This window comes from Homo sapiens, chromosome 21 (assembly GCF_000001405.40).
Source record: "Homo sapiens chromosome 21, GRCh38.p14 Primary Assembly".
NCBI lineage: Eukaryota > Metazoa > Chordata > Mammalia > Primates > Hominidae > Homo > Homo sapiens.
This window is the reverse complement of record NC_000021.9, coordinates 31,038,053-31,049,842: the sequence shown is the minus strand read 5'-3', so window position 1 is coordinate 31,049,842 and position 11,790 is coordinate 31,038,053. Positions and strand designations below refer to the sequence as shown.

The following is an 11,790-nucleotide window of genomic DNA, read 5'->3' as shown; positions in this document are numbered from 1 at the left end:
CACAGTTTTATTTTTACTTATTATTTTTTTGAGACGGAGTCTCATTCTGTCACCCATGCTGGACGATCTTGGCTCACTGCAACCTCTGCCTCCTGGGTTCAAGTGATCCTTCTGCCTCAACCTCCCAAGTAGCTGGGACTACAGGCATACGCCACCATGCCCGGCTAATTAAAAAAAAATATTTTTAGTAGAGATGGGGTTTCACCATATTGATCAGGCTGCTCTTGAACTCCTGACATCGTGATCTGCCTGCTTCAGCATCCCAAAGTGCTGGGATTACAGGCGTGAGCTACCGTGCCTGGCCGACAAACACACTTTTAAGTAGCTTTGAATTTAAAGGGCGTATACAGAGTGATGCCTTTAGCATTTTAGCCTTATTAGAGCCAGATAAATGTATTAGTAGTTGATAAAGTACAGTGAAGGAAGAATATAATAATGGTGATGATAATGATGACAATGTGAACATAAAAAATTTCATTTCTTGAGGTCTTATCACATGCCAGACATTTGGCTACACACATTTCTGAGAACAGTTCATTCAATTCCTACAACACATTTTTAGTCTTGGACCCTCAGTCTCTTCAGCTGTAACTTCTCTTAACTTTGCAGGATGGCTAATTTCATGTGTCAGCTTGCCTGGGCTAAGGGATGCCCAGATAGCTGGGAAAATATTATTTCTGTGTTGACTGTGAGGGGTTTCAAGAAGAAGTTAACATTTGAATCCATCTGCTGAGTTACAGAATCGCCCTCACCAGTGTGGGCAGACATCACCCAATACTTTGAGTCTCTAAATAGAATGAAGAGGCAGAGGAAGGGCTAATTTGCTCTCTCTATTTGAGTTGGAACATCCACCTTCTTCTGTCTCAAGAACCAAGGACATCAGAGCTCCTGGTTCTTGTAGCTTTGGACTTAGCCTGGTATACCATTGGCTCCTCTGGTTCTCAGGCCTATGGACTTGGATTGAACTACACCACTGGCTTTCTTGCGTCTCCAAATTGCAGTGGCATATGATGGGGCTTTTTGGCTTCCAGAGTTGTATGAGATAATTTCCATATATGTCTCATATATATATGAGACAGAGAGAGGTTTATAAATATATGTATACACACACACATTCTATTTTCCTGTTTCTCTGGAAAACCCTGACTAATACATTTCATTAGACCTCTGTTTTCCCATCTGAAAAGTGAAGACAGTAATTTTTACCTCTAGAATTGTTGCAAAGATTACATGAGACAATGGACCCAAGGCCCATAGCACAGCATCTGTTAACTGAGTAAGCATTCACTAGAAATTGTATTTATGTTTGTGACTATTATAGGGAAATGTCTTTAGGCGTGTGTCTAAGGGCTGAATTCAGCTGTGTGTCTCACTCCTCCCTGAGGGCTGTGCCACGGTCAGGTGGCTTCCAATCTGTACTCAATTGTTACTGTACAGACTGTTTCTTTTTTAGTGGCAGTCCCTTAGGTCCCAAGGTGAATAGGCCGCTACTTAGAAGAATCTCATGTTTTGTGACCTCCCCCCGACATTTATTAACCCTATGAGAGTGGGTAATGCCCTGCTCTGGGCCTGAGGGAAGCCCATAAATGCTTTTAGAAGTCCCAGTATTATGACACCTTTCCAGCCTTCTCCTGCTTTCACTGTTCTCAACCCCTTGGCAACCCACATCCCAAAAGCAAGAGGAGGGAAATTTTCAGATGCATTTCTGTATTAGTGTTTTCTAGATAAACAGAACCAACAGGATGTATATATGTAGAAAGAGATTTATTACAAGAAATCGGTTCGTGCAATTATAGAGGCTGGGCAGTCTTAATATCTGCAGGGTGAGTGGGTAGGCTGGAGACCCAGGAGAGCTGATGGTGTGGTTCCAGTCTGAATCTGAAGGCCTGAGAACCAGGAGAGCCTCTGTTGTGGTACCAATCCAAAGGCTGGCAGGCCGAAGACTCAGGAAGAGCCTATGCATCAGTGTGAGTCTGAAGGCAGGAAAAAACCCATGTCAGTCAAAAGGCAGTCAGGCAGGAGAGATTCCCTCCTACTTGGGGGAGAGTTGGCTTTTTCCTTCTATTTAGACCTTCAGCTGATTTGATGAGGTCCACTGACACTAGGGAGGGCAATTGCTTTACTTAGTCCATTGGCTTAAATGTTAATCTCATCCAAAACACTTTCGCAGAAACACCAGGAAAAATACTTAACTGAATATCAGCTACCCCATGGCCCAGTCAGTTTGCTAGATAAAAGTAACCATCATACATAATTTTGGTTCCCATCAGTCTTGAAGCCCCCTTCCTCATCCTCCAGTAAACTGGCATTTTGTTCAAAGCTTCTAAGTTATTTAAAGTTTTACACAACAATGAGGGTGAGTTTTTAATCAAAGGGGTAGGAAAGGAAGAATAGGGTGAGGAGGGAATAGCAGAAGTAATTAAAAGTAATTGTCATAATTGCTTCTTGTTAAACCCAGCTAATTGGTAAAAAGTAACAAGGGAGGAGGCCATTATGCAAATATATGGCCACTCTGTTCAGCTCCAGTTGAAGATATCAGAGCAGAGAATGGGAACGTTTCTACTAGCTAGTTACATGATGATCTGTTCATTGTCCTTATCAGTAACCCTTCGCCTCTTGCAGCATCAGACTTCTGCAATCTTGCTGGTTTTTCCCAACCTGTCCAAATCCAATTCAGTATATTCAGAGACATTCCTTACCCTTAAGTTATACTATTTTCCTCTCTGTCTTCCAACTACTACCACCCTTTAATGCCCAGCTCAAATTCTGTCTTCCCCTTGATGCGTTCTGTGACTGTTTCAGTCCTTAGTCTTCCATTTTCTCTGTATTCTTTTCTTCTTGCCTTTTCTGTACACTGACAGCTGCCTATATGACCTGTGTTACTAGTGGCTGCTTTTCCCTGTTATTTCCCCATCAGGAGAGTAAAAAACCTTACAACAAAGCTCTGTTTCTTGTGTACCTTCTTTAGCACCAAGAACAGTCCCAGGAATAGAGTTGCTAATAGATACTTATGAATAATGAGTGACTCTAACATGTAAGCCAAATCCTATCGTTCCTCTGGGCAAAACTCTGTAATGACTCCTCATCTTACAAGAAAAGCTAAAGTTGTATAACAGACAACACAGGATAGTTTCATCGGATCCCTTGTCCCTTCTCTTCTTGTCTCCATAATTCTCCACCTTGTTCACTGGAGCATCACCTAAATTGTCTTCCATGAAAACCTCTCAAGTGTAGGGGTTTCCAAGTACTGTAAGGGCAAATACAAATAAAAATGAGAGGCTGGGCCTGTAATCCCAGCACTTTGGGGGGCCAAGGCGGGTGGATCACCTGAGGTCAGGAGTTCGGGACCAGCCTGGCCAACATGGTGAAACCGTGTCTACTAAAAATAGAAAAAATTAGCTGGGTGTGGTGGCAGATGCCTGTAATCCCAGCTACTCAGGAGGCTGAGGCAATAGAATCACCCGAACTTGGGAGGTGGAGATTGCAGTGAGCTGAGATCGTGCTGTTGCACTCAGCCTGGGCGACAAGAGCAAGACTCCATCTCAAAAAAAAAAAAAAAAAAAAGTGTCATTGTTTCTGTTGAAAATAAGGGAAGAGACCTCCTTTTTCTTAGAGCATTTGCTTTAGAAAACTTGTCATTGTAAATTCTCTGTCACTTTGGCAGGTGTCTTGATCCCAAACTACCTTCTATCATCAGGATATAAGAAGTTTATTTTTCCTTTGAATAAAGCCAATTGGGAAACACAGATGGCCACTGCAGTTACTCAGTGAATCTAGGATGAGCCATGTGTGACAAATCATGCTGCCAAGTCCTCTTATGGAGGCGTAGGTGTTGTTTATTTTGAGAACATGTATGTAACACTCTGTATCTGCTTGGCTGTATAAAAAGGTGAGACTTCTTTCTGTCTTCACAATTTCTTAGTGGGTCGCCTGTGATGTGTACCACGTTCTGGTTCAATGTTTATTCAATAATGAAATTGTTTTCTTCCTCTTCTTCCTTTGTGGGAAGTTTTCTGGGTTGGAGATATGTTGTTGTTAATTGTATTTCTCTAACACTGCCTGCCTGGATGTTTCTAGTTGTCCTTCATGCTACAGACTTCTATCTTGAGAAGGGGAAGGTGAGGACTTGTGTCTACAATTTCTTCCACTCTTTCTTTCATACTCCAGTGCATTATACAGAGTGGGTGCTACAGTCTGAATGCTTGTGTCTCCTCCAAATTCCTATGTTGGAATTCTAATCCCTGCGATGATTGTGTTAGGAGGTAGGGCTTTGGGAAGGTGATGAGGTAGTGAGGACATAGCCTGCATGAATGGCATTAGTGTCCTTATAAAAGGGAACCCAGAGAGCTAGCTTGCCTCTTCCACCATGAGAGAACACAGTGAGAAGGTGCCATCTATGAATGAGGGAGCAGACCTTCACCAGAGACCAAATCTACTGCCACCTTGATCTTAGACTTCCCAGACTCCAGAATTGTGAGAAATAGATTTCTATTGATATAAGCCATACATTTTATGGTTTTAAAAAATAGCAGCCTGAAACAGTAGGTTTTCTATTTCCTTTTTCTTCTTCGAAAGGATTTCACTATATTATATCCTTCTTCTTCCTGGTGGCATTAATCTCTACGCATTGTTTTTTTTTTAATAGCAGAAACTCTGTGATCTGTGTCTACTAGACACACATATATATATATTTAGTATGGGAACTGTTTAGTTTGGCTTCTCCCAGAAGTAGATCCTTAGACAAAGATTTTATTTGGGAGTAGTTTATTTGGGAGGGGGAGGGAACAGAGGTAGGGGAGTGGGAAAGTGAGAAATAGAGGGGAAGGTGGACAGCAAAGGGTGGGCCATTAAGACAGTTCCTGCAGTGGGTAACTGGCGCTTAATCTCCCGTGGAAACTGGAGGAATAGTGGAAAACATACATCAGAACTAGCCTATGGAGGGGCCAGGTAGCTGGGTCTTTATTAACTCCCAAGAGTCAGTGATTAAGGGCTGCTGGTGGGAGGGAGGGAGACATTCATTCCCTGGCACTTCCAAATGTTCTCACTTATGAGCAAAGCTGCTTCAGTGGTTCAGCCAAAAGCCAGCAGGCACAGCAATGTGGATTCCATCCGTGGGAGGTGTATTAGTCCATTCTTCGACTGTTATAAAGAACTACCAGGTCACGCCTGTAATCCCAGCACTTTGGGAGGCTGAGGTGGGCAGATCATGAGGTCAGGAGTTTGAGACCAGCCTGGCCAATATGGTGAAACACCACCTCTACTAAAAAAAATATACAAAAATTAGCCAGGCATGATGGTGCATGCCTGTAGTCCCAGCTACTTGGGAGGCTGAGGCAGGAGAATCACTTGAACCTGGGAGGAGGAGGTTGCAGTGAGCCAAGATCACAACACTGCACTCCAGTCTGGGTAACAGAGTGAGACAATATCTCAAAAGAAAAAAAAAAAACTATTAGAGACTAGGTAATTTTAGAAGGAAAGAGGTTTAATTGACTCACAGTTCTGCAGGCTATACAGGAAGCATGACTGGGAGGCCTCAGGAAGCTTACAGTCATGGCAGAAGGGTGAAGGGGGAAGCAAGCACCTTCTTCACATTGTGGCAGGACAGAGACTGAAGGGGGAGGTGCTACACATTTTTGTACAACCAGATCTTGTGAGAACTCACTATCACAAGAACAACAAGGGGGAAGTCCACCCCTATGATTCAGTCACCTCCCACCAGGCACTTCGTCCAACACATGGGGATTACAATTCAACATGAGATTTGGGTGGGGACACAGAGCCAAACTGTATCAGGAGGACTGCTGGCATTGAGGGTCTGAGCATACAGGCGGGGCCCGGGCAGCATCTGCAGCAGGAGCCTGGGATAGCATGTGCTCAACACCAGGATGTGCTGCCAGATCCCCTCCAAGAACTGACTTGTTCCCCAGGCACTGGGAGTATGGTGAGTACACAACCTGCAGCTGTCACCCCCTTCCAGGATTGGCTCAGCTGCTGAGCTGCTCACCCAAGCTCACACTTCTTCCCACATCTGATGACTGATAAGTATAGGAATATAAAGGCCTGGTCATCTGGCACAGCACTGAAGGGCCAGTCTAGCTGCGGAGGACTTGAGAGGTCAGCCCAAGCTCCCTTCCTTAGGGCGGATCCTAGGGCTCTCCTTACTAAACATCCCACACTCACAACTCCTTTCCCAAGTCGGTTTCCCAGAGAACCCCAGTGCTTTCATGTGGTCGCAGGGATTGCCAAGAATGAAAGCACATTGGCTTGATATTCTAGGACTAGTATCCCAGCTAAACAACGATAAAGGATCTACAAATCCTGGTTTCCACAGAGTAAGAGTAGGTCTTTATAAAGGCAATGATTATTTTTAATCATGATTATCTCCATTTTTTCCTCAGAAAAAAAATTATCTTCCAATCTGGGTTCTCTTCTTTGTACCCTGTCTGATTCTTTCATTAGATCTCTCTTCCTCACTTCTGATAGCTTATTTTTCTGTCTTTAAAGGCAGTTTTTCTCTCAATCACTCAGCCTTTATCAATGGATGTCTAAGGATATATTTACTTTTCTGTACTGTCTGCCAAAAGCTGGCTGCCTCCTTAAAGAAACGTTGGCCTGAGACTGCAGCTCTGGGTCTCGCTGGCCTGAATGCTCTGACTCTGTGGTCTTCTTTTTCCAGCTGCATTTGTTTTTCTGATGTGATGGAGGTTCTGTTTGCTGTGGCAGTAGGAGAGGTGTTTGGATTCCCTTGAGTGGGAAGAAGCACTTTCTCCTTGGTGTCCAGGCTGAAGACACACTCCCCTTGGTAGAACATCAGGGCTCCTTACTTGTGAAGCCATGAATCAGCCCTCTGGCAGAAGCAGCTCAAGAGTATTACCTTGGGGTCACATAGCATCCAGGATTTGGGCTATGCTTTTACATCCTAAAACTTAGTATGGCCCATAAATGGAGAAAAAAATAAAAGTGTGTATCAATGTTTTTATATAAACACAAAATTTCTGCTTATATACATTTAAAAATAGTCTCCTTACATCACTGACCATGTAGACATGTATATATGTGTATATATATGTGTATATGTGTATATATGTGTGTGTATGTATATATGTGTATGTATGTGTGCATATATAGTTAGCTCTGCAAGTATATGTAAGTATATATGTGTGTGTGTATACACACACACACACACACACACACACATATCTCGTTAGCTCTGTAAGTCAGCTCAGTTCGGAGGAATGATTTTACCACGAATATCAGATCAGTACTTTCTCAGGTATAATTTGTGCATATTACCAAAACTGCACTAGTGCTACTAAATATATTTTATAATTTATAATTGTTATGCTGAATAAGTGGAACTCAAAAGGACTTACATTTTTAGAAGATGACTTACATTTTTCCTCCCACAACTTCCATTAAGAATTATTTTGAAGGCTATTTTTTTCTCTCTTTTTTCAGTCACATTTCAGGTGCCATACTATTTCCTTTCTCTTTTAGATTAATAAAAACAAAACAAGCTCTCTGATTATTTTAGTCTCAAGAATGGTTTCAGTTCAAGATTGAAAATGTACAGCTCAGTGATAATCAAACTTCAAAAACTTTCAGAGACAAAGCTTTCAGACCCCTGCCAGCCTGTACCAGCCGTGGCTAAGCCCCAGTCATTAAATATGTTGGAGAGGCCAAGTTAGGAAGGAGAAATGACTTTTTTTTTCTTTCCTATAATCTCATATTAGAAGTGAAGGAAGTAGAAGTGATTTCTTTGGAAAAGGTTTTTCTAAGAACCTGGGCACCGTCTAGCTGACTGCCACAGAAAGTGTTTCTTATGCTTTCTACTGTACTGAAATATATTACTTTTAACAACTCTTGTGCAAGAAAGAGTTGGGCTTCACCTTTCCTCTGTAAACCTGTAAACTGGCAGTGGTAAGAGAGGCAGGGCAGACCTCTCCCTTAAGCATTGGTCTCAGCTCTAGGCTGCTCTGACTCTTCCGGTGTTAAAACGGGGAGTAGGGGAGAGACGCATGCCTCTGACAATCTGGCAAGAGGGTTCCCTGAATTGTGGATCTTTCGGAGCTGACTCCTGCACTCATGGGCCTCTTATCAGTGCTCTGGTATAACAGTCCCTCTAGTGGACTGCTCACATCCTCCCTCACTTTCTGTATCTCATGGGACCATCCAAATTGCTTTGGCTGAGGTTGCTTCACTCTCTTGACCAGGATCCCTTTGAAATCAACTCGGTGGTATTCCCACCCTAGATTCCTATCTGGTAGCCGGGAACCATGTATCTTTGAACAGTCACAGATGAGGGCACAGTTACTCTGAAACTCAGCCTTGGCTCATTGCCATGGACCGTTCAGCCCTGTCTCTCACCTGTAGTCACTTTCCCAGCCCTGAGTCAGCAGTCGGCTGTGTCTTCCAAATTCAAGGGATACAGTACACTTCCGTGGAAGCTGGCTAGAAAAGGTTATTGAAAAACATTTCCAAAGAAATCTCTTCCCCTTCCTAACGCTTGGCCTCTCCAGCCTATTTCATGACTGGAGATAGGAGCTTAGTGTAACCGGCTAATGGGTTCTTGCCTGCTGACTAGACAGAGCCGATTTACCAAGATGGGGGAATTGGAATAAAGAATTTAATTCTCACAGAGCCAGCTGTATGGGAGACTGGAGTTTTGTTATTACTCAAATCAGTCTCCCTGAAAATCTGAGGATCAGGGTTTTTAAGGATAATTTGGTGGGTAGGGGATCGGGAAGTGGGGAGTACTGAGTGGCTGGGTCAGGATGAAATCAGCGGGTTGAAGTGGGTTTTCTTGCTATCTTCTGTTTCTGGGTGGGATTGCAGAACTGGTTGAGCCAGATTACTTGTCTGGGTGGCATCCCTTGGTGCATCAGAAGGCAAAGTCTGCAAAATATTTCAAGTGCTGATCTTAGGTTTTACGACAGTGATGTTATTCCCAGGAGCAACTTAGGGAGGTTGAGAATCTTGCAGCTGGAGCCTCTGGTGGCATGACTCTGAAGCCATACTTTCTAATCTTTTTTTTTTTTTTTTGAGATGGAGTCTTGCTCTGTCACCCAGGCTGGAGTGCAGTGGTACAATCTTGGCTCACTGCAACCTCCGCCTCCTGGGTTCAAGCAATTCTCCTGTCTCAGCCTCCCAAGGTGCCCGCCACCATGCCCAGCTAATTTTTGTATTTTTAGTAGAGATGGGGTTTCACCATATAGGTCAGGCTGGTCTCAAACTCCTGACCTCAGGTGAGCCACCACACCTGGCTTCTAATCTTATAGTTCATTTGTTAGTCCTACAAAGGCAGACTGGTCCTCATGCAAGAAGGGGGTTCATCTCAGGAAAGGGCTGTTATCATCCTTGTTTTGAAGTTAAACTATAAACTAAATTCCTCCCAAAGTTAGTTTGGCCTACACCCAGGAATGAACAAGGACAGCTTAGAGGTTAGAAGCAAGAAGGAATCGGTTAGATCAGATCTCTTTCACTGTTATAATTTTCTCAGTTAAAATTATTGCAAAGGTGATTTCAATTAGTTGCAGACTGCGGATCTAGGTTTCTGTAGCTCCCTTTGCAAGTCCTTCTTAGGTAGATTACCACCTTTCTTGGGGATGTGAGAGCTGTTGTCACTGATGATACAGGTTCTCAGCTAAAACTGAGTCCCATTTTACATCTTGTTTTGCTTTAATATTTATCTCTTAGTGAATACATATACTTTTAACTCTAAGACAAGAAAGAGTTGGGCTTCAACTTTCCACTTCAAAACTTTTGAACCTATTTTTGTTCTCCCCTCTCAGTTTTACATCTCTTGAACAATCAATGCAACAGGCATCTCCATTGTAATCTCATTGAGAATAAGTGGATGTGACTTTCAGTGTCCACTTGCTAATTTTAGTCCTTTGAGTTCTGGCCCAAAGGAAAGGAACAGACCAATCAGCATATAGATCAAAAATCAAAATGAGAAAGCTCACCAACCGAGAAAGCAAAGGAGCATTTTCATTCTTCTGTTGTGATAATACAATATTTCTTGCTTTTGCCTTTGTTGTACAACATCTATAAAAATGTGATGATGAAAAAAAACAGGTGAAAGTGAATGATTTAGGTTCTAGTCTGGGTTTTGTCACTCACTGGGTGATCTGACCAATCTTCTCCAATTCTGTTTCATCATCTGTAAAGTAAGAGGGTTACACCAGTTCTGATATTATATTATTCTATCTGAAGTGATTATTAATAGTATATAGAATAGTCGTACTGCTTATGTGCTTGAAATTGGTTTTGATACCAATGGCTAAGTAGAAGTGATTCTGACCCTTATCATGAACACTTCAGTGGGCTTCATTCTTCAAAAAGAAAATGTCATATTTAAGTATTTTTAATTTTACATATTTCTGTAAATTGTAGTTTAATTAAGGTTTCCTTAGAGAGCAGAAGATGGAATCCCAGAATTTGGAAAACAGCTTTTTAAAACCTCTTTGCTGATTGTGTTAGGAATTTAGTAAGGCAGAGAGGGCTGCCTGCCTACCTGTGACTGTGGAGTCAGATGGGTAGATCCAGTACTCAGATGTTAATCTCTTTAGAAGATTATTTTTTAAAAAGAAGATTACAAAGATGAAGAATATGGTATCACTTTGCAAAAATCACACCCACGGCTCTTGCCCCTAGTGTTATTTCCTATATAAACATTGAATAATGAAAAAGTCTTGCAGTAAGAGCTAAGAGCTATCAAAAGTTTCATAAACAACATTGAGTTAAAAGGGTAGTAATGTGTAAGGAAACAAAATTTTTCCATTTGGGTTTTTCTCTCTCTCTTAAAAAAATAAATGTGATCCTTTTGTGCTATCAGCTACATTTTGTTGGATTTATACAGTAAGTGTACCTCTTCTATTACTTCACTAACTTAAATAACAAAGATGAAGGGGAAAAACTCATGGGATTGGGAAGGGCAGTTCTTATTTACAGCCATATCTCTAGCTCTGAGCATAGTGCCTGGGATGCATTAGTTGGGCATTAAATATTTGTGCAAGGAATACATTAAGAATTGGATACTGGGAAGGGGCTGTAATGAAAGAACAATTTTAGGTGACAAAATGGGAGCTGATTGCTGCTCTTATGTCTGATTATAGAGCTTTAACTATGATGGTCAAAGCAAGAGGGCTTTGAAGACAGCATAATCATCCTGTGGAATCCAAACTGCACAGAAATCGAATGAAAACATCTTTAATTAGTGTCAGGAATTGTCCTACAGTTTTAAGATGAGTGAGTTTTTTTTCATGCAATTGAATCTACGCCATGAGAAGTCTACCCCACTAATCACTGAGGATGTATAAAAGTCCCAGGGAAGCTGGTGATAGTTGTACTCAGGAAACTTGCCCTTGACCTCCAAACACATCTACAGTTGCTGAACCATGAGCTACTACAGAAGCTATTATGGAGGCCTGGGCTATGGCTATGGAGGCTTTGGTGGCTGGGGCTATGGCTATGGCTGCGGCTATGGCAGCTTCCGCAGGTTGGGCTATGGCTGTGGCTACGGAGGCTATGGATTCAGCTGTTGCCGACCATTATACTACGGAGGATATGGATTCTCTGCCTTCTACTGAAGAGTGAACTCATTCTTTGGATCACTAGAATCTGTCTATCATCCTGACTTAATTCTCCTTTCAGGTCTTTTTACCCCCTCTGTGAATTGCGCAGCCACTTTCTTGATAAACCAGACAAAGCAGCAAAGGGTGCCTTGTGAACTCTTCAAAGTCAAGACTCAATTCTGGCAACAAACACAACAGAATCAGTGGCAGCAGC

General features: G+C 42.3%; 1 protein-coding gene across 1 annotated transcript, besides 2 other annotated features; it reads left to right on the top strand.

Annotated features, from left to right (window-relative positions):
- Nucleotides 8,209–8,278: an enhancer, noted in NCBI's record as "active region_18351". NCBI's record gives its function as "activates an Ori minimal core promoter by ATAC-STARR-seq in GM12878 lymphoblastoid cells {active_cell/tissue: GM12878}" and the evidence as "EXISTENCE:reporter gene assay evidence [ECO:0000049][PMID:35858748]".
- Nucleotides 10,488–10,657: an enhancer, noted in NCBI's record as "experimental_61959 CRE fragment used in MPRA reporter constructs". NCBI's record gives its function as "activates a minimal promoter by MPRAs in K562 erythroleukemia cells, with activity observed for the non-introgressed 21:32411590 variant allele {active_cell/tissue: K562}" and the evidence as "EXISTENCE:reporter gene assay evidence [ECO:0000049][PMID:34662402]".
- KRTAP19-8 (keratin associated protein 19-8) lies at nucleotides 11,367–11,684 on the top strand. The gene has a single exon (NM_001099219.1). The coding sequence runs from the start codon at nucleotides 11,400–11,402 to the stop codon at nucleotides 11,589–11,591; it is 192 nt and encodes a 63-aa protein (NP_001092689.1). The 5' UTR covers nucleotides 11,367–11,399; the 3' UTR covers nucleotides 11,592–11,684.
- The last annotated feature ends 106 nt before the right edge of the window (nucleotides 11,685–11,790 follow it).